This window comes from Homo sapiens, chromosome 3 (genome assembly GCF_000001405.40).
Source record: "Homo sapiens chromosome 3, GRCh38.p14 Primary Assembly".
NCBI lineage: Eukaryota > Metazoa > Chordata > Mammalia > Primates > Hominidae > Homo > Homo sapiens.
The window spans coordinates 55,559,369-55,586,367 of NC_000003.12; the positions used below are offsets into that span (position 1 = coordinate 55,559,369).

Here is a 26,999-nt window from a genome sequence, read left to right on the forward strand (position 1 = left end):
TCCTAGGGCAGGACTGAAGCCATAGCTCCAGGTGCCTGTAAAATCCAGAACTCACAACCTCAGGGTTCCTACCTCTCTACCTCATTTTAGGTCTCAATAGCTATCTGTTTAGCAACTAAGTTGTTGGTTTCCACCATGCTACAAATCAAATTAGTGACATCAGACAACACATGTGTCCCCAAGAGACCTGGCCCATGAAGTAAGACTGGAAGTCCCCAATGGATGGGGCCTGGGCACTGTGCTGGGCTAGACTGTCAGGGGTGCAACCTAGATCCCTGCAAAACTCCCCATGGAGCGGCCTCAGAGGACAACACCCTCAGTCTATCCATCAATGTCCTCCTTGCCTTTGGCCTCTCTCCACTGGAGATGTGAACAAAGAGAGAACAAGAGAGATTAATTTCTTTTTAATCCTTCCTTTCTAGCAAGGGCTTGACCTCAGGCTTTGGCCTGTTTCAGCTTCTCCCCAGGCAAGACCATATTTCACGCTGAATCATCAGTTTCTGGGGAAACAGAGCGCTAGCCCACAGCGTACGGATGGCCATGCTATCTTGAAGGAGCCCACAGGGGCTGCTCAGACATTATCTCATCCATCCCTACCCTTGGAGCAAGGTGGGAGCAAGGAGCCGTTATCTTGGTTGGGCTGCTGAAGGAACTTTAGCCCAGAGACAAGGTACTTCTCCGGAGTAGTGCAGTACCAGGCCCTTCCTAGCTCCAGGAAAACCCTCAGCAGCCCCTTGCTTCTTGGGCCAGAGGAAAGCATGGTGGTGAGGAACCCTGCAGACCTTGACTACTCAGCTCTGCCACTATGTCTCAAGAGCAGCCATAGGTCAGTGAACAGGTGTGGCTGTGTTCCAATAAAACTTTACTTAAAAAAACAGGCAGTGGGCTGACATTGGCTCACAGGCCACATTTTGCTGAACTTTGCCCCTAGTATAAGGCTATTTCTTGCTCAAGAAATGATCTTAGAATGTCAGGTTGGAGCAAGGTTTCTCAACTGCAGTACTATTGACATTTTAAGCCTGATAATTGTTGTAGGGGTCTGTCCCATGCACCTTGGTCTCCTGGAGCCCTAAGCTGCCATGTAAGAAATTGCACTACCCAGAGAGAAACCACAGGAGAGGCTCTGAGAGTACATGGAGAAGAGGGTCCCAGAGGTGCCCAGCCTGCAGCTGACCCCACCAAGGCCCTTGGCATGTGACTACAGCCATCTTGGATGCTCCAACCCAGGACAGCCACCAGCTAAGTATCACTGAGGGACCACACTCCGTGTCCACATGGAGTCAAACTTCCCAGCTTAGTGCTGATGGAATTCCTGACCCATAAAATTCTGATATGTAAGAAAATGGTTGTTTAAGCCACCAAGTTTTGGGGGCATTTGTTATACAACAAGAGGTAACTGGATACATTTCAGCGAAGAATGAGAAAAATCTGTCATTTAGCCAAAAATCTTACCAACCTAGGTTAGAAATCTGATCAAAGGGGAACTAAATGATCAGAAACCCACTGTGGTGGCAGAATATTAGGTCACTGTCTTGGCAGATTATTGGCCCAGTAAGCCCCTAATATTCCTTTAGTGAGTACACGGAACCTCTTCTCCCAACAAGACTCGGCCTTTTTGGGGAGGGCCCTCCACACCTCCTCTTCATGGCTTGGGAAACCTGAAAGACTGGCTCATCAATATATCGATGGCCAAAGGCAAACATGGCTTCACCAGTTCAGGCAGAAGCTTTAGATGATGTCGGCACAGTCACAGCAGAAAGCTCACCAAACTACTGCTGCTTTTCTTTAAAAAAAAAAAAAAATTAAGAGCAAGAAGAAAAACTTTGGGCTAGAAATCAGACATCTTGGGATTTCTATCACCATGGAAGATGACAAGCTATATGACCTTTGGCAAATTTCTTTACTTCCCTGGTTTTTCATTTTTTCCGTGTGTCCATTATGGCTTTGGACAAGCTCAGAGGTTTTCATATCTACTTTTTGGAAGCCCACAGAAACCCCTCAGAGGCTGTGGGTGCATTTCTGTGGGTTAGAGGGTAGGTAAGAGGGAAGACTTGGCAAACGGGGCTCCAAGTCCTCTAGCTTCATTTCACTCAAAGGCATTTATGGGCATTTGTCAGAACTTAATTTGAAACTGAAAGCTAAACCATGCCTGCACATCACTGGTCTTCACAGTTTGTAAGGTCCTTCTAGAATCCTCATCCCTAAATTCTCTGCCCCTAATTTTGATGGGGAATGAATGTGGCATTTTTGTGTATCTATTTTCCCCACTGCCCTTTTCAGAAAGGTAGGCATGGTGGGCTACTCGCTTTTTTTCTTGCCCTGTATCCATCCTCCCTTCTAATAATAGCACCCCCAATTTACTCTGGGAAACTATCCAAGGTCTACTCTCAGTCCATGACCCATCTGAGTGGGAGCATGTGAGCAGACCTGGTCTATTAAAATGCAGCATCCCCTTGGCCATGCCATATTATTAAGTCATGAATGGGCACAGAACCTAAGCCAGCCCAATGAGAGTCTGCCCTGAATTTTCACTGGAACCATCATAAAAGTGGCTATCTCTTTGTGGAATTGTAGAATGCTAGCCTGGAGTTGACAGAAGCCATCCTGCCACCTCAATGTGAAAGGCAGTTTAAGAATGAATCCCACCTAAAGGAGTGGAAAGCCAAGTGAAGAAGAAAATACAGCATCTTGATAGCATCGCCTGGGCTGCTGGATTGAGCTATACCTCAAGGCAATAGGTCCTTGGATTTTCTAGTTCTTTAAGCTGAAAAATTCTCCCGCTGCCTTCTTTTTCTTTTTTGAGACGGAGTTTTGCTCTCGTTTCCCAGGCTGGAGTGCAATGGTGTGATCCCTGCTCACTGCAACCTCCACCTTCCTGGGTTCAAGCGATTCTCTTGCCTCAGCCTCCCGAGTAGCTGGGATTACAGTTGCCCGCCACCATGCCCAGCTAATTTTTGTATTTTTAGTAGAGACGGGGTTTCACCATGTTGGCCAGGCTGGTCTCAAACCCCTGATCTCAGGTGTTCCAACTCCCTAGGCCTCCCAAAGTGCTGGGATTACAGGCATGAGCCACTGTGCCTGGCCCGCTGCCTTCTTTTTTAATTAAGCTAATTTGAGTTGAGTATTTGTCACTTGAAACTAAGTATCTTAGCTAATAGAAGAAGTAAATACAGTTTAATTGAGTCTGGGATGCCATATAAGAAAAGTCCAAGTGTTTTGCATACTCTGCTTGCAAAGAAAACAACCTCCCAGGTTGGTGGCCTGAGGGTTTGTGCAACACCAAAGAACACCAAGCTCAGCCAGCCCAATTGCCCTCCCATCCCTTTTCTTTTTTTTTCATTTCTTTCCAGCTGCACGGTCTTTTATGGAGCCCATCTTTCTAAGACATTCAAAATGACATGCTATTGGAAGACATTTCTGTCCATGCTAATACCTGTGTTTAAATTTTTTTGTTGTTGTTTAAAAAAAAAGATCATGATATGATAGCAAATGAATGTTGGCAAATTGCCAACTGACAGGTGTAAAATTTTATGAACATGCACATTCCAAAGGAATGTGGAAATAAGCCATCCACTGTAGTCCAGTTTGGCAGAAATATTACAAAAATATAAGTTTGGCATATATTGTAATTCATTTAAAGATGCTTAAAAACCCATCCATCAACCTTGCACAGAAGGTCAAAGAAACACATGAATCCCAAATAAACAGCAACTGATGTACAAGGAAAAGGCCTGAATATCAGCTCCAGATACCAGAGAGACTGTACACATATGAAGAGGATGAAGGTGCTGTTTGGAAGGCTGAGCTTCTAAAACCTTCATTGGTGTTTAAAAAGAAATAATAATCATTTCTTAGCAGTAAGTAAGGTGGACTGTTGCCCTCTGCGTGGCCATCAGAATTCTGCTCCTCTGGGAGAATTTTGCTGAAGAATTGGTGAGTATGCATCCTGAGTGTCTTTCCTTTTTTTTTTTTTTTTTTACTTCAAGGACCATATCTGCAATAATCAATTGCTCTCACGTATTTGGTACCTGGACACTCTTCACTTTGTCACAAGCATGAAGAAACTAACTTACTTCTTCCCAGCCCCAGGATGGGCTCCCAACTGGGACTTGGCCAGTGTGATTACTCAACCTCTGGTCACAGTGATGGGTTCAAGGTTGGGTAAGTGCTCCATTTGAGTCTTCCATGAGATCTGATAAGAGAACACTGAGAGAGAGAGACAGAGACAGTGACAGAGGATCCCTTCAGAATCCAAAGCAGAAAGGGCCACGGAACGTGGAGAAATTTCTATCTTTCCCCCAGCCATCTAAAGGGAGCTTCCTGTAGAAGGGAATGAGTCCAACATGCAGAGAGAAGCAGAGAAGAGAGATGAATGCAACAGGGGTGGGAGAGATGGAAAGATAGAGAGATAGACAGAGACAGAGGCAGAGAGATCTGAGAACCAGCTGTGCCTGCCAACAGAGCCACTCCTGCCTGGGCTCCTCAGTAACATTAGCCAATAAATATTCTTTTCAGCTTCGTTTAGTTTTGAGCTGGGCTTCTGCCACTTGGAACTGAACTAATTTTCACTGATACAGTTACCCACAATATTTGCAGCGTGATCAAGACCATAAGAGAAGTTGGATACAGGAGGAGGATGACACGGTTCTTACTTCAAAGGAATTCACAATCTAATTTGTGTTCAGTTTGGTAATGGTTTGCTAAGCATCTATTCTGTTCTAAGGCGCGGTATCTGGTGACTCCAAGATCAGGATGACACAGATCTCATCCTATAGGATTTCCCTGCTGAGCAATGGGGTGGATGTCTGCCTGATGTTTTGAAGACGGAGAGATCTGTTATTATTTGGAACTAGGAAGGCACCATTCTGCTGGAGAGGAAGGTGAACAAAGTCTAGAGGAAATGAAAAAGCTTGGAGGATATAAACTTGGAAGTCTAGTTAGAGTATTTCATACCGTGGAAAATTATTTAAAAGAGATTGCAAAATATTCATGCTTCCCTGATGCCCTCTAGTCCCCAAATTCTAAATGGCTTTTTTCCACCCATAATTTAACCAGTTGTGAAACTGAGGTGCGCTTTATCATAAGTTGTTTAAATGCTTGAGATTGAGCTTCCCTGACTGTAATATGGGAATAATACTCACATTGCAGGATTCTTGTGACAGAGACACTGCCAGCTGTCCACTCCACTAAGTACACCGTCCTTCTTAGTTATAGAGTTTGTTACTTTCAGATGGACACACAGCTATTAGAATAATGACTACATTTCCCAGGCTCTGTCACAGCTCTGTATAGCCATCTGTCTAAATTCTGACTAATGAAATATAAGCAGAGGGACTGCAAATAGTTTCTAAGAAGTGTCCACAGAAAGACCCTCCCTCTTTGACCCATCCCCATTCGTGTGGCCAAAATACAGCCACTAAGGCTGGAGCTTGCGAGCAACCATTTTGACTCAGAAGGCAGAATCCATGTCCTAGGACAGGGATCAGCAAATGTTTTCCATAAAGGGTCAGACAGTAAGGATTTCTGGCTTTGCTGGCCATATGTTCTCCGTGGCAGTACTCAACTCTGCTGCTGGAATACGAAAGCAACCATGCATAATATGTAAACGAACGAGTGTGGCTGTGTTCCAATAACACTTCACTTATAAACTCAGGCAGTGGGCTGCAGGCCATAGTTTGCTGACCCCTTTCTCTAGGATGGGAGAGCAGCAGGTTAAAGGAACCTGGGACCCTGATGACATTGTAACACCCATCACCCAGACATGGACTGCCTCCCACCAGATTTATATCATATAAGAAAAAAAGAAGTTTCACAATTATTTTAGCATTTTCTGTCATGCGAAGCCAAACTTAATTCTAATTAAAATAGTTGTTTAAGGAAAGAATAAGTGATGTATATAAAATATCCAACATAAATATTAGAAACAAATGGATATTGAATAAAATAGGTATTTCATAATAATAACCAGATAGCTGTATTCAGAAAAGCTTTAACCCACCTCTAAGTTAAGAACATAGTGGCTGACGGGTACTGGAAGCCTGCTGGGAAGAGAGGAGAGAGGTCCAGGCCACAGGCAGAGTGTCCCCTTTCTGCCCTTTGCCGTGCACTTGTCTAGAGGGGTCAGTGAATCCACGTTCCACCTCTGCATTTCCCTCTAATATATCAGCATGGTACTCCTTCCCAGCCTGCTGAGATGCTACCATCAGGACTATCATAAACCACTCAGAAAAAAAAAAAGTGCTAAACTTTATTAAACATCATAAAAAAAATGTGATGGCCTAGATCCATGTAGGCTCACTTGGGTTAGAGTGCCCAGGCTTGGCCGTAAGTCACTCTTTGGCAACCAAAACCACATGAAACATCGTGTTGAAAACTTGCTAAATCATTTGTCACTCAAAGGCTTTTAAAATAAAATACTTTCAGAAATAATCATTTGATTTCAGACTCTGAACTGCAGGCTGCCCTGAGATGGATGTAAATACTCTGTCTGCACAGGCACATTCAATAGCAACTGAAAGCAGGGCGAGTCAAAAGTCTTTTGCTGCTAAGTTTCAAATCCAAAACTACACTTCTCTCAAATTCCAAATTTCTTCTTCCTTATATCTCAAATGAAATTGTTGCACCCAGCAAGGAGGCAGAGTGGTCTCTTAGCTTGGGGGGAAATGTCTTAGCCACTGAGTATTCTGGCTCTGGATGGAGTAGCTTGACTTTCACTCTATGATGGACTCCATTCATTGAACTTCCTATGGTATATCAAGAGCATCTACTTGGTCCTAACAGTGTGAGTTCAAATCCTGGTTTCACCACTTACCAATTGTGGGACTTTGAGCAAACCCATAATGTCCTATCTGCGATTGTATAGGTACATGAAGAATTAAATCCATTCATTCATTCACCATGAAAAATGTTTTTACACACGTACTAAGTGCCAGGTACTATTTGATGCGCAAGGAACAAAGTAGGCAAATAGCCTGCATGTATCAGGCCTGGTGCAAAGTAATTATTCAATGAATGCTTGCTGTTACTATGCTGGTAATTCTATTTATTTATTTATTTATTTATTTATTTATTTATGATGGAGTCTCGCTCTGTTGCCCAGGTTGAACAGGTTGGAGTGCAATGGTACAATCTCCACTCACTGCTACCTCCACCTCCTGGGTTTAAGGGATTCTCCTATCTCAGCCTTCTGAGTAGCTGAGATTACAGGTCTGTGCCACCACCCCTGTTTAAGTTTTGTATTTTTGTAGAAACAAGGTTTCACCATGTTGGCCAGGTTAAATTCCTGACCTCAAGTGATCCACTCGCCTCAGCCTCCCAAAGTGCTGGGATTACAGGCATGAGCCACCGTGCAACAGATTGTTGTTCTATTACCCAGGCTGGAGTGCAGTGGTGCAATCTTGGCTCACTGAAACCTCTGCCTCCTGGGTTTAAGCAATCCTCTCACCTTAGCCTCCTGAGCAGTTAGGATTACAGGTGTATGTCACCATGCCCAGCTAATTGTTTTGTATTTTTAGTAGAGACAAGGTTTCACCATGCTGGCCAGGCTAGTCTGGAACTCCTGACATCAAGTGATCTGCCTGCCTTGGCCTCCCAAAGTGTTGGGATTACAGGCATAAGCCACTGTGCCTGACCGATAATTAATTTTCAAAATGTATATATATATATATCAGACCATATTCCAAGTGCTGGAAATCCAGAGCGAAATAAGAGAAGACCATATTCTCATAGTACTTGCATATGGAGGGGAGGGCAGGCAATATACAAATATGCAAACAAGATCCTTCCCTATGGTTTATTGCCATGAAAGCAACTAGCCAGGGTTATGTGATGGCAAGCAATCAATGATGGAGTGGTGAGGAGAGTTGTGAGTTGGAGAAACTGCTTGAACCACCATGTGACAATCTGGAGGTAAGCACTCCAGGCAGAGCAATAGACCTGCGCAAAGGCCCTGAGGCCAGAATGTTGGGAAAGAGACAGGAGGCCAGTTAAACAAAGGGAAGAGTGAAATAAGGCAAGGTTGGAAAGGTGGGTAGGTACCTTATGGGACATGGAAGTCCTCATAAGTCATTTGGATTGCATCCAAATAAAATGAGATTCCACTGGAGGGTTTTTAGGGAGAGCTTGATCTGATTTTCATTTCAAAAACTGGTCCTTCTGAGCGTATAGAGACTACGGTGGAAGCAGGACTCAGCTGGGAGGTGATGGTGGCCTGGAGTGGGTGGTGAATGGTGAGATGGTAAGAAAGGGACAGTGGTGAGGCTGACAGGAGGTGAGAGAGGAGGGAGAGGTGAGGATGATGCCAAGGTTTTTCAGGAGGAGGACTGCATCTGGAGTGAGGGTGAGAAGGCACTGAGAAGGAGATTTCCCAGTGGCCAATGGAAGCAGGATCCGGGGCCCTGATCAGGGCTTTAGAGTCATCACCCATGAAGCCAGGGGGAGGGATGAGGTCACCACGGTGATTAGTGAAGTAACAGACAGCAGCCTGGAAAATTTCCTTCCGGCCTTTTCTCTCATAACTGTTTTATCACTATCTGGTGAGTTTCACTCCTGGTGATGGCTTCCCTCTTTGGGCCCTTCTAATCTGTTTCCTTTTAGAAGGTGGCTGTTTTCAGTGGTTTTTCATTTCTTTCTCTGGACTAATTTTATTGCTCATAGGCTTCTCTTCAGCTGCCTTGGCAGGGAGATGCTGTATATTAAAATAGTTATTATTTTATTTTATAGCTCAGTTGAATCTATATTCTGCTCATTACAAGTGTATAGGCCTCACTAGCCAAGTACATTTCATAATGGCAAACTCTTATTGAGACAGAAATCTCATGTTCTCTCAGTGTCTCCCAGGAGGTTGCCCTCTGAATTGTGATGAGTGGTATGTGGGCACGAGGAGCCCACGGGTTGGATCAGTGCTAGTTAAATCATTGCCCTGGTTCAACTTGGCCGGGGACCCATGTGGTCTAAGCTCAGAGTGATGAGGAGGTAGAAGAGGAGTCATCCAGCAAGCAATAGTTAGCAGGCATCTCAAAATTAATATGTCCAAACCTGAGCTCCGGAACATCATCATTTGGCTTCTCCTGTAATCTTCCCCATTCTGGATGGCGGCAGCCTCACTCTTCTGGCTGCTCAGCCCAAAACTCTGGAGCCATCTTTGGCTCCTCTTTCCTTCATGTTCCACATCCAATATTTCAGCAAATACTATTACCTTTCACTTGAAAACCCATCCAAAATCCAACTGCTTCCCTCCATCTCCACTGCCATCACCTTGGTCCAAACCATCAAACGTCTGTTTTCTGTATTACTTCAATAGCCTTCCTGCCTTTGCCCCCATCCTGTTTATTCTCACAGAGAGAAATAGCCAGAGAAATCCCATTCAGATGAAGCCAGCTCAGGACCAACATCTGCCACCATCTTCTGGTGACTTCCCTCCTCGTTCACAGTGAAAGCAAAAGCCTTCACTGTGACCCATGAGACCCTACACAGTCTGACCTGCTCCCCCTCTGACACGTCCCTGACTGCTCTACCTATCCTCGCTCCACTCATGTCACGTGTCATGAACACGTGCTAGGCACAGTCTCACCTCAGGGGCTTTGCATGTGCTCTTCTCACTGCCAGGAAAGCCCCGCCCCTAGATATCACCAAAACTCGCTCCCTCACCTTCTTCAGGCCTTCACTCAAATATGACATTCTCACGGAAGCATTCCCTTGGGCCTATACAAGGAACTTCCAGGTAATGTGGTTGAGGGGGAGGGGCTGCACATTACCTTTGAACCCACTTCAAGGAAATAGCACCAAAACTCTAGAAGTCATCACCCTCAGGGAGAAAGAATGCTTATCTATAAGAAGCCTAGCACACAACAGCTTCCCAACCTATCTGATTAAACAAATACACATGAAGACCGCATTTGGCGGCAAGAAAGGATTAAAAAAAACTCCTCCAAGATTATCTTGGGCTAAATCTGAAGAAGGAATCTGCACTCCTTCCATTCCGATGGCATGTTTAAGTTCAGTGGCTGAAAAATCTGCAGAACCAGTTGGGTCCCTATGCCGAAGGGGCAGGGAAGAGGCATGCGCTGCTCTGCCAATGGGGAGGAAAAAAATTTAACGAGGGCAAGATAAGAGCCAGACGTGTGGAAATATTTCTCTTTGAGGATATTCTTTGTACCAATTACTCTTCAAAGATATCATGTTAGCATTTTTGGCACAACTTGACAATTAAATTAGACGAATCGTTTTCAGTGTTTTTGCATTTGATGTGCCTGAAACTCCTCTTAAGCTAAAATGTTCAGCCTGTCACACACATTTTTTTAAACTTTGGCAAGTCACATCAACACTGATTTCAATTAAGTCAAGAATTTAAAAACATTTCACTACTCATCTTTTTAAAAAATTACATGACATATAATTAATTGGGTTTGATGATCATTTCGTGGTGTCCAAAGTTTGGGGATAGAAAGAAACACAGTCAATAAATTTCTATTTTGGAGATGACTTCATTTCTATTTTTTTTTTTTTTTTTTTTGAGACAGAGTTTATTACTCAGGCTGGAGTGCAGTGGTGCAATCTCAGTTCACTGCAACCTCCACCTCCCGGGTTCAAGCGATTTCTCCTGCCTCAGCCTCCCAAGTAACTGAGATTACAGGTGTGTACCACCATGCCTGGCTAGCTTTTTGTATTTTTAGTAGAGACGGGATTTTATCATGTTGGCCAGGCTGGTCTTGAACTTTTGATCTCAAGTGATCTGCCTGCCTCCGCCTCCCAAAGTGTTGGGATTACAGGTTTGAGTCATCATGCCCGACCCCCCATTTCTTATATTCATTGAGTCTCTCCATTTCTCCCAGGAGCCAATGGGGCTTTAAATCTCCCACCCGTCTCAATTTCATGCTCCAAAATTGGTTCTTGTCCTGGTACTTCTGGTCCCAGCTCAGTCATAGGCAGGGTAGGGCAGCACGAGAGGCTGTGCTGAACGCTGGAAAGGCCCCCAATCACAGCATGGTCACGGTAGGAAGTTCGGCCAGAAGAGAGGCGAAGTCCACATCTTATCTCCATGGTTGGAGTTTTCCTCTTGCTGATGTGACAAAGTAACCTGACGAGATAATGATTTCCAGGTTGGTTCCAAATGGTCTGGGATGAGGTGAGTGCAGAGGGAGGGCCAGGGGGAGCTGCAGCCGGATGATGCATGGGGCTGTTCTGCAGGACATCTCTCCCAGGAGTTCAAAGGGTTCTGACGATATTCTCTAACTCACCACTGGCATGCCCGGGGAAGAACAGATGGTCTGTGGTCAGATAAACCACCTAGACTGGGATGTGATTAGGGTGGTCAAGGAAAATTACAAAACCTTGGAGCTTCCCTTTCCTTCCCCAACTTCTGGCCTCTGCCCTTACACAAGTCTTGTTTTGTTTTGCTTTGTTTTCCTTGCTTTTGACAGGCTCCAATTTTTCATTTTAGTTTAGTCCATTTTGACCAGCATTAATAATGAGAAGTGGGCCGGGCGCAGTGGCTCACGCCTGTAATCCCAGCACTTTGGGAGGCTGAGGCGGGCGGATCACGAGGTCAAGAGATCGAGACCATCCTGGCCAACATGGGGAAACCCTGTCTCTACTAAAAAGATAAAAATTAGCTGGGCATGGTTTGGCGTGCCCCTGTAATACCAGCTACTCAGAAGGCTGAAGCAGGAGAATTGTTTGAACCCAGGAGGTAGAGGTTGCAGTAAGCCGAGATTGTGCCACTGCACTCCAGCCTGGCAACAGAGCGAGACTCCGTCAAAAAAAAAAAAAAAAAAAAAAAAAAAGTAATTCAATGTCTTCTTCCCTACTGGTTAGAAAACTCTATGATGACAAGAATCGGGTCTGTTTTGTGCACAACTGTGCTCCTGACAGCCTAGCTGTAGCAAGTGTGGCTTTTTATTCTGATGCTGTGACATCTGGGGCCTTAGGGACCTGAAGGACACTGCCTCTCCTAGGGCTAGCTAACTCCTAGAGATAGTAAACAATTTTGACTTGGAGCTCACCTTTTATATGCAAACCAATCAATCCAAAGCCCCGACCCCAACCACTTCCTCCCTTCTGGGGCTCTTCTAGGGGTCTCACACTCCAGACCATTATTTCCCTGCCCCAATCACCCTGGGACCAAGCACCAGACAGTGAGGACAACAACTACACCCCAGAGTCCACTGAAATTATTCAAGCTAGTCAGTTCTAAACCTGCTCACCCTGCCTTGCTCGCCTTTCCCACAAAAGCCACAACAAAGGCTCTTGCCCACGTTTTCCCCTGGCTCCCTCTGCTTTCTGACCAAACAGAATAGTCAAATTCTGTGGAGTGTTCAGAAGTGTTTCCTGAGTGGTCCTGCATGATGTGGTGTGCCTTCCCCTCTTGGAATTGTGAGCAACAAATCATCTTTTCAGTGGCCTCACCAGACCTGATTAAAAATAAAACCTACATTCTAAGACACTAGCACAGGGCCTAGCACACAGTAGGTGCTCAATTAATACCTGCAGGGGGTACTGAATGAGTCTTTCCTTAAATGTAAAAGTCCACAAAAACTTCCTGGATACTGTTCCCTCTTGCTTCAGCCTTGTCCTTCCTTACAAGATAATGTGAACACCAGGCCACCTACCTGGGCCGAAATTCAGGTGTTCCCTCTAGACCCAGGGAGTGCAGTTCTTCCTGCCACCCGCAGGGTCTGTGCAGCCCAGGAAGGCAAGACTGACGGCGTTCCTGAGGGAGGTGGCGTTGGGACAGTGAAGGGGCATTTCCTGGCTGCCTGTCATCATGAGGCATTCCAGCTAGCGAGGAAAACAAAGACAGCGGCCAGGGAGCGTCGCCTTTTATGGTTCCATCCTGGCTGCACTTCAGGAGCAGCCCAGAAAGTGGCCTGGGAGACAGGCAGGCTTTGTCACCCACTTCTGTTCACCTCGGTCCCTGGGCCAGCAGCTGGAGAAATGCTTGTGGCCCGGCCAGCTAGAGGCACAGGAACCCAAGGGTGAGAATTTGATGGCAGAGGGAACACCCTTCCTGGCGGTGTGCTTTCCTCAATCCTCAATATCATCTCCCACGAGCACCCATGTAGGCAACAAAAAGAAGGAGCTGAAGCAATTCTATGCTTAAATAACACCAGGGGCCATTTTTTGGACCCTCAGGGGATATCTGGAATCTTCTAGAAAATAACGAATATTTATTGAGCAGTTATTTTACACAAGCTCCTACATGGAGCACTTTGTATTCTTGACAGCCAAGTCTCACAATAATCTTGTCAGCAACCCCATTTTCAGATGGGAACACAGATTCTGACTGGGGCTGGGGGACTTGCCTAAGGTCACATAGTGAAGGGTGGGGCCAGGTGTAAACCCCTGCTATCTAGCTTTCCCTTACCCTGGAGGGCCTCCCTCCAATAGTCAAATTCTGTTAAGTGTTTAAAAGCCTTAGCTGGTGACCTCTAGGGTTCTCAGCTGCTCTCTCATTACAGTGAGGCAGTTGCCCCCAGATGATCCCACTAAGGGGTTTTTTCTACTCTATCACTTTAATTCAGCAATCAACACTTCTAACAACACTTCTAAGTACTGCAGGTCTTCCTCCAGGAGCTCAGAAACCCCAGGGCCTCTGAAACCCCCTTTATATAGAGGCTGTGTGACCTTGAACAAGTTGCTTAACTTCTCTGGGCCTCAGAAAAGAGAACAGGTTTGACCGCAAAACACCAGGCACCTTCCAAGTGTTCTCCACTTATACCACCTCCTTCCCCATCAACAGTCTTGTCTCAAAGTAAATATTTCTGGTATGTTATGGAATGACAGGACATAACACAGAAAGATGTCGGTAAGAAATGGGCTTTGGTATGGAACAGACCAAATCTTACCTCCAATGTTTATTAGCAAAGTATTTAGTTTTCTCTGTGCCTCAGTTCCCTCATCAGTAAAATGGGTATGGATAATAGCAATTGTTTTACGGGGTTATTTGAGAATTGTCTGAGATGATGCATTTAGCATGAAGCCAGGCAACAGCAAGCACTCAATAAATGTTAGCCAGCCATTTGATTGTTGAACTTTAAGATTCACTTTTCTTTTTTTGCATGCCTCTCCATCTGGAGTGATGATGTGAAGAGCAACAGATGCGAGGGGGGCCAGGATAGTGGGGTCTGCAGCAGCAGCACCAAGAGGCAATGTCACAGCTAGTTGGAGGCAGGCCCTGATCAAGGAAAGGCTGGGGTAGGTAGGTGACACACTGGGCCGCTCCTCATGTGGTTCGTCACAATTTTTATGACTTTCTTTTCCATTTGCACAGCCAAGGAGTCTTCCTCCTTAGTCCTCTGCTTGCCAGAGTCAGCTGCCTGGACCTTCCTCAGCCCACATGTCCCTGCCTCATCTTTAATGTGAGTGCACACAGTTCATGCAGCAATGAAGCCTGCCACGTGCCTTCAGCCTAAGTATGGATTCTGTCAACACACTTTTCTGGAGTGATGAAGAGCCGTGAATTTCCATAGTCCTAGACTGCAAGATCTCCCTACCTTTAAGTTTTTCTGAATTGAGAACATAGCTTTTATTTGATGAGGGCACTTGATGTAGCGCTTCTCCTCATCACCAAACAGCTGTCAATAAATGCAAGAGGCATTTAAAAATTGAGGGAACACACTCATTTATCCTTGCATTTGTACAGAGATTAAATGCTGTCCTGCCAGGGTCAGTGGCAGTAATCATAGCAGTTATTGCTATTATTAGAAGCTACTTGGTGTCAAGTTTTTTCAAAGGCCCAGGGCTTTGCATGTGCTATTTTTTATCCTGGATTAGGTCTGGTTATTCTCATGTGACCAATGATGACACTGTGGTCCGTACAGGTGAAGTGACTTATCCAAGGCTTCACAGCTTCATAGCCTGGGATTTAAACCCAGGCCTGCCTGGCTTCCAGATTCCTCCTGTTTCATCCATACCATTCGGTGGTTGCTATTTTCTCTGTCAATTCCCTAATGAAATCTTGGGCAGGACTTTCCTTTGCCAAAGTCCCTTGATAAAACAAACTTTTATCTCCCAAGTCATCTGGCCGATGCATGAGGGGATGTACAGAATGGACCTTCCTAGGAGGAATGAGCTCTCTCACACTAGATATATCCAAGAGGAAGGACGTGCCCTATGAAAGGGGTGCCAAGGAAGATTCCTGTGGCCTTGGGAAGAGCTGGGATGGGGGGAGATAAAATCTCAGGTCTGTTACCTACTAGTTGTGTGACCTTGGGTGAGGCACTGTGCCTCTCTAAGGCTCTGCTGGCTCAGTATTCTGCATGTGTGCATTGAGGACAAGAGTCTTGTAGAGCCACTGAGGATTTAAGAAGTTTGCAGGGTGATGCTCCTAAGAGGGCTCAAGTGATGGTGGCATTGCTACCATGACTGAGAAGGCTCGAGTTGATCACTGAGGCTGTCTCTGCAAGCTCCAAAGTCCCATAAGTTCTCTTCAGTGAGTCAGAGCCTAGATTAACTATCACAAGTGCCCTCCAGACACAGGCCAGAATGGGCCCTCTGTTTTCCTAGGGCCAGTTCTAAACCCCTAGCTGACCCCACTGCCATGTAAGTGCCCGCTCATCCATGGTGGAGAAACCACACACTGGAGGAGTGGAGACTTCTGGGTCCCCTGGCTGAACTACTGGCTCACAGAAGGTGCACTTTCTTTCTTTCTTTCTGTTTTTTTCTGAGACGGAATGTTGCCCTGTTGCCCAGACTGGAGTGCAGTGGCATGATCTTGGCTCACTGCAACCTCCGCCCTCCTGGGTTCAAGTGATTCTCATGCCTCAGCTTCCCGAGTAGCTGGGATTACAGGCATGCGCCACTAAGCCCAGCTAATTTTTTGGTATTTTTTAGTAGAGACGGGGTTTCACCATGTTGGGCAGGCTGGTCTCGAACTCCTGACCTCAAGTGATCTGCTCACCCTGCACTCCCAAAGTGCTGGGATTACAGTTGTAAGCCACCACACTCAGCCAGAAGGCCAGAGGTGCACTTTCCCACCCTCTTCCTGGTCTGACCACCCCAGGGTTCTTCTGACCAACAGAATACAGTGGATAAATGGGGTCCTGTTACCAGACTGCCTTGGTTCAAATCTTGGCTGCTTTACTCTGACTAGCCCATGTGACCTCTTGAAAATCATGTAACCTCTTGATTGCATCATCTGCAAAATGGGGATGATGGAAACAAACCCAGCAGGGCTCTTATAAGAATTCTTTGGAGTGGATGTATGAAAAGTAAGTAGGACACAGAAGCCCATCATTATTATGGACTAGGGTGCTGGGCCCAGTTCCTGGCCCCAGAGGGCTCCCCACCAGCCACCATGATCCCTGTAGGTTGCCCTGGCTCCAGGCCTTCTCCAGCTCCACTAGTGGCTCAGCTGAGGGGAGAGGAAGGACCAAGGGCACCAAATTTACCCCCTGGCTGAAACAGTACAGCTTTAGGGGAAAACCAGAGTAGCAAGAGCAGTCAAACCCTGCCTGGGACTTTGTGCCAAGCCCTGGGCTGTGCATTAGACACATCTGATTGCTTGAATCCTCACCTTTATAAACAAGCACGTAGGTACTTTTCCTATCCCCACTTACAAAGGAGTAAACTGAAACTCAGAGAGGCTGCTCAGTGATTTGCTTAAAGGTCACACAGTTAGTTTATAACTAAGCTATTTACCTCTATAAAATTCTCCAAAATAGGTTGGGTACGGTGGCTCACGTCTGTAATCTCAGCACTTTGAGAGGCCGAGGTGGGTGGATCACCTGAGGTCAAGAGTTTGAGACCAGCCTGGCCAAATGGTGAAACCCTATCTCCACTAAAAATAAAAAAAATTATCCAGGCATGGTGGCACACCTGTAGTCCCAGCTACTCAGGAGGCTGAGGCAGGAGAATCACTTGAACCTGAGAGGTAGAGATTGCAGTGAGCTGAGATCACGCCATTGCACTCCAGCCTGGGTGACAAGAGCAAGACTCCATCTCAAAAAAAAAAAAAAATAAATCCAAAATAAAAACATTAATGGAGGCCCTACCATGCACCAGGAACTACTGGCAGTTTATACAGATTAGCACACTTGATGCCCAAAATAATCCTTCAGGGGAGGTATTGTGATGTTATTTTACAGATGAGGAAACCGATGCTTAGGGAGGTAAAGGGGCCTGCCCCAGAGCAGTGATGCAGCAGGGCTCAAACCCAGGTCTGCCAGGCTCCAGGCACGTGCCCTTAGCATATGTGTGCTGCTGCCCAAGGGCTTCTCATCCCAATTTCCAGAGCAAAAGTAGGAACATGGCTTTTCCTCTGAACTCCGAGCCAAGCCAAGAGATAGAGAAGCAGCTGCGGAGGAAACCCCCACCTTGCATCCTGCCCGTTAGCTCACAGCCGTCCCCTGTATCTTTATGGCCTGGGCTGACGGCCCCGTCCTCGTGCCTAGCCCCTCAGCTTCCTGCCCGACCCCACCATGTCAGAAAACTGCAGCTCCAAAGTGGCAACAAGAGTCAGTCACACCGCATCGTGCGAGGGAGGCTTGGGGGAGGATCTTAGGCTGAACCCAAGCTCTCAGGGCCCTGTGGCCTTTCCTGAGCCCTGTTCAGAGTCCTGGCCTCTCTGTCCAGAGGAGAGTCTTGCCGTGCTCTGTCTTAGACAAGTCGAGGTGATTAAAGATCAAAAGACAAGCTAAGACGTCTGGCTTGCCAACAGGCTATTGTCTGCCCTGTCCTCAGCGCCAACTTCCAGGCCCCAGAGGCCTGCGATCAGCCCCTCTCCACCCGATCACCTTTTCTTTCACAACTGATTTTTAAAAAAATCCCCTCCTGCTCTTAATTGCATGCTGTGTGTTCAGATTTCCTGAAGTTCATGAACTGCTGTGAAATTTAAGACAGGTCTGCATTCCCACTGCATTGCTACTTTTTAATTCTAAATTCCACCCACCTTCCCTAGGAAAAAAAAAGAGAAAAAAAAAAATCCAAGCTGAGTGAAAGAAAATTTATGCCAGTTGAAAGGAGAAGGCCAGCCTTGAATAATTCTACTAATAAAAGGGCAGTGAGAGATGGGGTAAAAATAATAAGGTTATATCCTCATAAAGTTCCCTTTATTTGTGATTCCCGAGGCACTTGGGGAATGATAGCTCATCAGGGCAGGGTCCCAAATGTAGCATCTGCTCCCCAGCGGCTGCCTCTATTGCTCTGGGTGCTCCATAAACACTGGATCACAGCAATCACAGGCCTGCAAGGTGGGCTGGTGGGAAGTACAAACCAGAGGAATTTTATAGCAGGAGGAAGAGGAGCCAAGAAGCCTAAAGACATCCCCATAGTCACCAGATAAGTCAGGCTGAACCCCAAACAGACCCCAGGCATGCACCATACTCTAGGCCTTGGAGAGGAACCTGCTAGGTGGTGGCCACAGGTTCTTCATTAAGAGATGCTCCCTAATAACAAAGACTAGGTCCTAGAGGGCTTCATGTAACCTCCATGTTCCTGCGAAAGAAGAAGGGCACCTCTCCCGATCCACTGGAGTGAAAGGAAATGGAAGAGGTTGTCTAGACTGCCACAGTATGAGTTGGGGTAGAAAATTGAGAGAAGGGCTTTGCTGAGGCAAGTATTTACTAAGGCCCTACTCTGTGCTGGGCACTGGAGAGGGAGAGAGAAAGGGGACGTGGCCCCCACTGCAGGGAGCTCACCAATACATGGGAAACCTCACTGGGTAAACAGCAGGCTCTAAACAAGGCAGGATATGGCGAATTCTGTAGCAAGCAGAGAGGGGCCTTCCCACTTAGGGCCATCCTCATCTGAGTTCCCAGCATCTCTCATCTGACTTCTGCAGTGGTCTACCCACTGGGTCTTCCAAATTTACTCATGCTGCCTTGCAGCAGCCTAGAAAGTTAAAAATGCAATGCCACCCTCTTGTACAGAGTTGTCAATGGCTTCTCCCAGCACTTGTACCAAAATACAAACACCCTACAGGACTCCATGAGGTCTGGTCCCTGCGACTCTCCCAGACCTTTTCTCTTACCAGTCCCTAAAGCCCACCTCGGGGCCTTCCACACACTTCACTGTGCTCCAGGAAAGCTCTTGCCTTGGCTCCTACCACAGTCTGCACCTCCTTTCATTGAAGTCTTGGCTCACCTGTCTCCTCAGAAAGGCCTTTACTCAGCGTTTTATCTAAAGTAACCTGGCCAAGTGACCCTGTTTTATTCCCTGCAAGGCAGATGTCCTTATTTGAACTTCTCTCCTTATAAAAAATACAGTGAAACAAATACTATCTACTTACACATTGCAAGTCTCCCTGTATTAGTTAGCTATTGCTGTGTAACAAATCACCTCAAATCTTAGTGGCTTAAAATAGCAACTATTTATTATTGCTCATGAGTCCACAGGTCAGTTGGGTGATATGTCTTGTCTTGGCTGGGCTCACTCATGTTCCTCTATAAGTGGAATAGGTAGCTGTGCTGATCTTGGCAGGGCTCTTTCACACATTTGGGGCTTGGCTGGCTGTGACCTGGTCTAGGGTGGTTTTGGCTGGGACAACTGGGCTCTCCTGCACATGGCCTCTCATCTACCAGCAGGCTAGCCTAGGCTTGTTTTCACATGGTTAGGCAGAGTTCTGAGTGAGGGGTGGAGGTGGGAGTGGGGAGAGAGACAGAGAGAGAGCTTGAGCTCTTGAGGCTTAGGCTGGGAAGTGGCGTACTGTCATTTCTACTACATTCTGTTGGTCAAAGGAAGTCTTAAAACCAGTCTAAATTCAAGCAGAGGGAAAAGAGAGCTATATAGCTTTTCCCACTTCTTTATGGGAACAGTTATAAAATCACACTGCAAAGGGCATGCATATAGGAATCCTGAAAATTGGGGACATTTTTGCAATTAACCTACCATATTCTTCTACAATGTAAATTCTACAAAAGGACAGACCTCAATGAGCACTTGCCATGCATCATACGCATTTTACCCATACTTTGTATAGTATATATAATTCACAATCTACATTTGGTACGTTTTTCAATTTGAAAAAAAAATGGCATGAACCCCTTAATAACACTGGATTCAGAGACAAGGTTGTATTCTGGGTTAGACAAGTTACAACAGGCATCTGCTATATGGAGTTGTTCTATGCTGGGAGACATATTTGCCCCATGGGATATCAAAATCCACATAATAACAGGTCATGTTATAATGAGGTTTTGCTGCACATGCTTGCTCTCAATTTAGACGGCAGGACCTGCCAGGTCTTCCTCCAGCTGCTGGCTTCAGACCTCTCTTTCCAGAAGGATAAGAACTACCTGTCAAAATGCAAAGCTCTAACAATGAAATATACAGCGCATGCTGTGGGAAAGCCCTCGGTTTACTTCCACAGGCTGCAGCTGGTGTGCACGGCAGAAATGATTCATTCTTCCACCCAGCAAAACAAGTCCGTTTACAGGATCTCCTAAACAGAACACATCCTCAACCTTTCACATGCTGCGCACTCGGCTCATGATTTAACCTCCTTTGCGTTGAAGAGCCACAGGCTCAGTGCTGGAAAAGAATGCTCCTTCCTGCATTGCTGTCTGCTCCAAGGCAATATACTGTTACATTTCTAGGAAATCAGAATGTCTTTTAAATCCTGCTTCAAGTATCTACACATTCCATGCTAAGCTGCAATGCTTAATTTAATATCTCCACGGCAGTGGTGAGGGTTTCAAATAGAGTCCACAGCCTCAGGGACATAGGAAGAGAATTCAAAAGGTGATATGATAGTTTGGGATGATTGTATTTAGGTTGGTGCAAAAGTAATTGCAGTTTTTGCCATTAAAAGTAATGGTAGTTTTGCACCAACCTAATATATTTAAGAAGTGGCAAAAACACCAAAGTGGGTTTTGCCACCATTGCCAAAACTGAATGTAAATACCACTTGACAGCAATAGGAAGCATATTTTTTTTTTTTTTGTCTTGGGGAAGCTTGAATCCTACTGAGTTCAATTTGGGGAGGGGGTAGTGCTGCCAGAGGCGAAAGAATAAAGGCTACCACTTTGCGAAAATCTTGAGGGCAAGAAACCTATTTCAGCCACAAAAATACAAATGTCTTTTCAATGTCAGGAAACTCTGGAAGAAAAGACAGAGGATGGGACCAAGAGAGACCAAATGCATTTCCTTTGGAAATCACTGCCTGGATCAGGGGTCCTCAAGTTGTTACCAACTCCCACAAGAGCCCTGAAATCATTTCTCCAAATCACAGGTGCTAATTGCTTTCATAAGGGTGCTGGCTAGAGCAGAACCCAAGGGCTTGGTAAGTGTGATATTCTCATTTCTCTGGGCTTGTGTGATGCTTGAGTTTGGAAGGTAAGTGTCTGGATTGACTTCATATATACACATGGTCCTAGAGATGCTTATCTTTTTCAAACCCATCTGGGAACATTATTGGTTTGTTAATTCATTAAATACATATTGAATATGACTCATGTGTGCCAATAACTTTTCTGGGCACAGAGAACACAACAGCCTATGTGCTTGCCTACATGGGGTTCTAAACAAAATTGACATTGAAATACATAGTATTCTAGATGATGATAAAGGTCTAAACAAACCAGGGAAAGGGATGGGGGCTATTTTTAAATAGGGTGGTTAGATGAGGTCTCATTGAGCAGATAATACTTGAACGAAGGCTTGAATGAGGTGAGGGAGTGAGCCAAGTAGTTATCTGAGGGAAGAGAATTCCAGGCAGCAAGAAAAGCCAGTGCAGAGGCCTTGAGGCAGGAGGTGCCTGGCCTGTTTCAGGAGCCCAAATGTGCTCCTCTAACTAGGGGGCAGTGCTGGGTGACTCTCACTGATTTGGTTGGCCCTTGAAGGAGTCAGTTTTAGGATGAGCATCTCAGAGGGGAAACAAAGGTACTATGGTATTATCAATCTTTCTCTTTTCAAATGCTTAAGTCCTAAGTCTCCCATCGCCACTTCCTTTAAAAAGGAAAGTAAGGGGGAAAGAAAACCATGTGTCTGAAAATACCCATGCAATAATACCATTTAGCCTGGCCCATGGGGAAAAAAGGTGAGACATCTGGGGGTCATCCCTCAAGGTGAGTTTATATACTGTGCAGATTTTTTAAGAGTATGGTACAGTAATTACACTGATGGCTGATTAACTCAGGGGAGTTACCCAGAGGTGAGGTCTTTAGATGTGTAGGGAGAAGTCTGCATGCACAGGTAAGAGTGGCAGGGTTTATGGAGAGGGAATTCACCATTTGTGGCCAGCACTATTTCCAGGTGGAAATGGTGCTCCTCTGGTGAAAGGGAAAGAAGCCAAGGTTTCCAACCAGTGGTCCTTATACCTCCAATTCATGGACAAGCTTCAAGAGGTGCCTGTGAACCTCTTGAAATGATATGCAACGTTTCAAATGTGCCACATGCTTTTTCTTGGGAAAAGGGTCCAGAGCTTCTCAGAAATTTCCATGACCTCTTCCAAAATGAAGAACCATTGACTTCGCATGGAGCAACCTCTGTTCTCACTTCTCTTCCAGGACAGGTGGGTTAGCAGATGACCCCTGGGGAGAACTCTGCCATCAGGGAGAGTATAACCAGCTCATAACACATGAGTCTTCATCTAGAGTCATGAGGCCGATCATTTGTAATCAATACCCAAGAACTTTGAAATATACATGCATGCTGTCCCCTCCCCACATTCCAACTGGCCTGGGCTTTATCCAGTCCTGCAGTTATACACAGGCTCTCATCAACCTCCTGGCCTCTGTACAAGCTGTTCCCCCTGTCTGGAACACTCTTCACTTTTCCTGTAGCTAACTCTCACACATTGCTCAGGTCTCAGCTAAAACAACATGTCCCATAGGAAGCAATTCCTCGTGGCTAGACTAGATCATGGGCCCCAGTAACATCCTGCATGTACTCTATCATACCCCATCAGAGTTTATTGTGAACTCTGGTTTCACAGAAGCTTTCTCTGCTAGAATTTAACCTCTGTGAGGGCCTCTCTCCCTTGACACAGATCCCTGCTCCAAGTAGGTACTCAATACAATAGGTATTTATAGTTGGATAGATGGATGGATGCACTGATCAGTTATTCTTCTCAGAGTGGCAACTTCTGGACACCGACCTGCTCTCCTCCTCAAACAGTGTCAAGTATCTATGAAGTGGTCTACCACACTCTGCAACTGCTTGTTCTCATGAGCAGTTATATCCAGAAGTTGGCTATCAATATTTTGAAGTGGAATCTTCTTTTTTAAATGAATGATCTATCTCAATGGCTGAATTTTGCACAGCTAATTGATTCCTATTTCAAATTAGTTTGTAAGCAAGCTCAGACTACCGACTGCCTTTGTATCATATCAGTCTTCACAACTTCATACTGTTTTTCTTCTGCAGGGCTCTGACCAGAGCCCTCCCTTGCCTAAAGGAGTAAACTCTGTCTTTGAAAGGATTGTTAAAACAGACAGGATCATATAAGAAGTAGCCTGAGTTCAAATCCTGACATTATTACAAATAGCTGAGAAGTCTTGGCAGGTCATCTAGCATTTCTGAGCCTCAGTATCTCAGCACATGATCAACTCAATGTACTGCATGGTGGTGAAGAATACGGGGCTTTGGAGAGGAAGCCCTGAGTCTGAATAATGACACAATTCTTGCCAGATAAGTGACTTTATGCAGGTTACTTAACCTTTGTTAGTCTCAGTTTTCTCATCTGACAAAGTGGGACTAATAAAGGTTTATTGCAAAAATATTGGCTGCTTAGCACAGAAACTAAACATAGTAAGTACTAATTAGTTAATGTACTCATGCCATTATTGTATCATCCTTACAGTGGTAACACCAATTGTTATGCTCTGTGGACCAGCTAAGCCAAAGAGAGGGGACTTGGATCATTTACTCGAGCTACCCAGACTCTTCAGAGTCAAAGCAAAATGTCACATTCTTACCCACCAAAAGATGGCCTTTGGGTTCTGTGCATTAGTGAATATCAATCTAAAGAAATCACAATGTAAAGTCAGGCATCTGTTAGCTACTGGCTGGTTTCCAGTGTGGAAGCTTGCCTGCCTGTCTGCCTGCCTGCCTGCCTGCCTGCCTGCCTTCTTTCCTTCTTTCTTTCCTTCCTTCTTTCCTTCCTTCCTTCCTTCCTTCCTTCCTTCCTTCCTTCCTTCCTCCCTCCCTCCTTCCCCTCTCTCCCTTCCTCCCTCCCCTCCATCCCTCTCTCCTTCCCTCCCTCCCTCCCTCCCTCCCTCCCTTCCTTCCTTCCTTCCTTTCTTCCTTCCTTCCTTCCTTCCTTCCTTCCTTCCTTCCTTCCTTCCTTCCTAGAAAGGCAAGGATGCACTGGACGGTATCAGCTTCCCTATTAATTTACTGAGTACAAGTCTATGCTAGCAACTATGGTTAGTGCTAGGCTGGTATAAGATGACATGGGCTTGTGGAAGCTGGGGGATCTGCTCAGTATAGGTGATGGAACCAGCCACGTCTGTAATGGGAAAATCCCTCTTCCCAAGTATCCGAGAGCTCACTGAGTTGCTTTTCCCATTGCAGGCTTCAAAGGGCAGCAGAGGGCTTAGAAAGTACCTTTGCCAGCAAGTCCAACCACATGCCAACTTGCTAGCCCCCCTCCCAAAACAGGTACAGGGTTAGGAGTCAAGCTCCCAAGACTTTCTGGGATAGAATTTTGGCTTCTTCACTTATTATGTGATTCTGGTTAAGTCACTCAAGCCTCAGTTTTCTTACACATAAAACGGTAATAAGCTCAGAGTTGATTCATCGTTAAAAGAGCTAACACATGGAAAGTGCTTGTTGAATAGTACCTGGCACAAGGAACACACTCAGTCGATGACCACTGTTACTATTCTTAGCAGTAATGTAGCCTCAGGGACCCCCACAGGGAAGCCTATTGGTGAAGAGCTTAGGCCCTGGAGCCAGATGCCCTGGATTTGAAGCCTGGGCCTGCCCCTTCTTGGGCAAGGTACTTTCCCTTGCAGACTCAGTTTTCCCATCTGCAAAATGGGTTCAATAACAGCTCCTACCTCCTGGAGCTTTAATAAGGACTTAAAGTATTAACAGGCATGCAGTCCTTAGAGCCACGCCTGGTTTACATCAATGTTCATTCAACAATGGCTGCTATGACTACTAGTTGTCCATGCCAGGTGTTCTGGGCTCAGTTCCTTCCTCTACCCTTGCCTCGCCGAGACTCAGAGGAAAGGCAGTTTCCCTGGCAGAATTTCCACTTAGATGAGGTTCTATAATCACACCTCTCCTACCTTCCCACTTACCCTATTTAGTGTGGAGATGGTGAGGCATTGGGGAACTCTGCTTGGAGAGGCCAGAGACTCCTCCCTTTCTCACCTGCATATGCCACGTAAACCCTCATGGGTGGAAGCAGCCATAACCCACATCTCCCTGCTGAGGCTGCCTTGTTTCAGGAGCACACCAAATACGGTGGGGAGAGAAAGATGTGTGTGGGCAAGGATAACATAAGACAGAGAGTGGCACCTCCCGAACTGAGAAGATTGACAGGGGAGCACCACCAGCAAATTGCAATCCACCATGTAGTACTTGGGCATTCCCGCCCCAAGAAGGAAGATATCCAAGCGCATGGCTTGTCTCAAGCTAAGCAGAGGCCCTGATTTTATCTCAGAGTCAATGGACAACGAGAACCAGACCTGCCTGCAAAATACCCGGGGAGTTACAAATCCAAATACGGTCTTGTCTTTGCTGTTTCGGGAGCCTGATGTATGTCAATCCATTTGGTGGGGAGAAGCTCAGGAGGAAGCGAGGCTCTTTCGGGCAGGCTGCTGCTTCCGCTGTGGTCCCTAAGATTCAGTGATTAGCATTCCTCGGTTTACCGTAAAATTCAAACAGTGCCATCCATTCGGTCCAGATTCTCTGGCCTGATCTAAGACAAATAGCACCCGGTTTGGCCTCCACAGCTGTTTGTGCTGTCAACTAGGCAGCACTTTGCAAGATGGGTTAACAGATTTAGGACTAAATCTCTAAAGGGGCCTCCATCTGGTCTCCTGTTTCTCCTGTTTTAGGGCTCAGGGTTTTTATACCAGTAATTGCCCTTGGACATCAAGTGGCCCATTAAATGGCTAGATTTACCACCGCTGAACTGGAGCTTCATTCAAACAAATGTTCCCCCCAATAAGCAACCTGTCAGTTGTGACCTCAAGTGGCTGCTGGTTCCATAATAATCCAACTAACAGTCCAGTTAATCAGTTATAGAAAAATCTCCCAACATCCCCTCTCTTCCCCTCTCTATAACTGTTGGGGTTCTAGATGTTTAAAATAAAGTCTTTTGCATAGGGTGTGGCTCAAAAACAAGCAAGATTTCTATTTGAATTACCCCTGTTAGAGAGAGCTCTTTGGGGGGACCCTGGAAGATAACAAAATCATGTAATTGTTATTCCCAGTCATCCAGGCCAAGGGTAAGGCTACCGAAGGGGCTCCGTGGGTTTGAGGATTTTTTGACCCCAGTCCTTCCTTTGCAGCCATGTGAACTACCTTTTTGATTATTAAGAACACAGAGTGACCTAGAAAAAGCTGCAGGTTTCATGGAAATGAAAGATCCACAAACAAACACAGCTGGTTTCGGCTTTGATGCTGATAAACAAAGCGAGGCAGAGCAGAACCGCAGAACGAAAATCAAAAAACCAGACTGAAATAAAGTAAAGAAAATCCTTTCTTCCCTTAGCCTGCAGCCACAGGAGGGAAGGCTCCAGGAAGCTCTGGAAAGGGCAGCGTTTGAGAGCAGGGCTTCCTGGAGAAGAGCCTGGGAGCCCCGGGGGCTTCCTCCTGGTTCACACAGAGGCCCCCATAGGCCTGACTTGGAGGCACACTGGTGCACCTGAGGTGACTGGCGGGGTGGGGAGGGAGTGGGGACTGCAGAGGGTTGGGGAAAGGACCACGGAGAAACCAAGAGGGGGTTGTATTTTCCCAAAGAGAGGTGGCCCTCGGACTGTGAGTCTTTGCCTTCACTTTCAATGCCAACTTCAAACCACCTTAGGCCAGCACAAAGGCAGATCCCAGCCATGATGCTTAGAAAATCCTATTCATAACTCCCATATTACTTTGGGAAAATAGTTTAG

The 26,999-nt window shown here is 46.0% G+C and overlaps 1 protein-coding gene across 19 annotated transcripts in view, besides 5 other annotated features; it reads right to left on the minus strand.

Moving 5' to 3' along the window:
* ERC2 (ELKS/RAB6-interacting/CAST family member 2) overlaps window positions 1–26,999 on the minus strand; it is a 960,157-nt gene that overhangs the window by 51,058 nt on the left and 882,100 nt on the right. The window lies entirely within an intron of this gene.
* Window positions 11,651–12,278: an enhancer, noted in NCBI's record as "H3K27ac-H3K4me1 hESC enhancer chr3:55605047-55605674 (GRCh37/hg19 assembly coordinates)". NCBI's record gives its function as "activates a minimal SCP1, AML or CMV promoter by ChIP-STARR-seq in primed H9 embryonic stem cells {active_cell/tissue: H9 hESC(primed)}" and the evidence as "EXISTENCE:reporter gene assay evidence [ECO:0000049][PMID:30033119]".
* Window positions 12,279–12,906: an enhancer, noted in NCBI's record as "NANOG-H3K27ac-H3K4me1 hESC enhancer chr3:55605675-55606302 (GRCh37/hg19 assembly coordinates)". NCBI's record gives its function as "activates a minimal SCP1, AML or CMV promoter by ChIP-STARR-seq in primed H9 embryonic stem cells {active_cell/tissue: H9 hESC(primed)}" and the evidence as "EXISTENCE:reporter gene assay evidence [ECO:0000049][PMID:30033119]".
* Window positions 17,397–17,919: an enhancer, noted in NCBI's record as "H3K27ac-H3K4me1 hESC enhancer chr3:55610793-55611315 (GRCh37/hg19 assembly coordinates)". NCBI's record gives its function as "activates a minimal SCP1, AML or CMV promoter by ChIP-STARR-seq in naive H9 embryonic stem cells {active_cell/tissue: H9 hESC(naive)}" and the evidence as "EXISTENCE:reporter gene assay evidence [ECO:0000049][PMID:30033119]".
* Window positions 18,797–18,996: a silencer, noted in NCBI's record as "fragment chr3:55612193-55612392 (GRCh37/hg19 assembly coordinates)". NCBI's record gives its function as "represses an EF-1alpha promoter that drives an FKBP-Casp9 reporter gene in an ReSE screen in K562 erythroleukemia cells {active_cell/tissue: K562}" and the evidence as "EXISTENCE:reporter gene assay evidence [ECO:0000049][PMID:32094911]".
* Window positions 21,629–21,841: a silencer, noted in NCBI's record as "fragment chr3:55615025-55615237 (GRCh37/hg19 assembly coordinates)". NCBI's record gives its function as "represses an EF-1alpha promoter that drives an FKBP-Casp9 reporter gene in an ReSE screen in K562 erythroleukemia cells {active_cell/tissue: K562}" and the evidence as "EXISTENCE:reporter gene assay evidence [ECO:0000049][PMID:32094911]".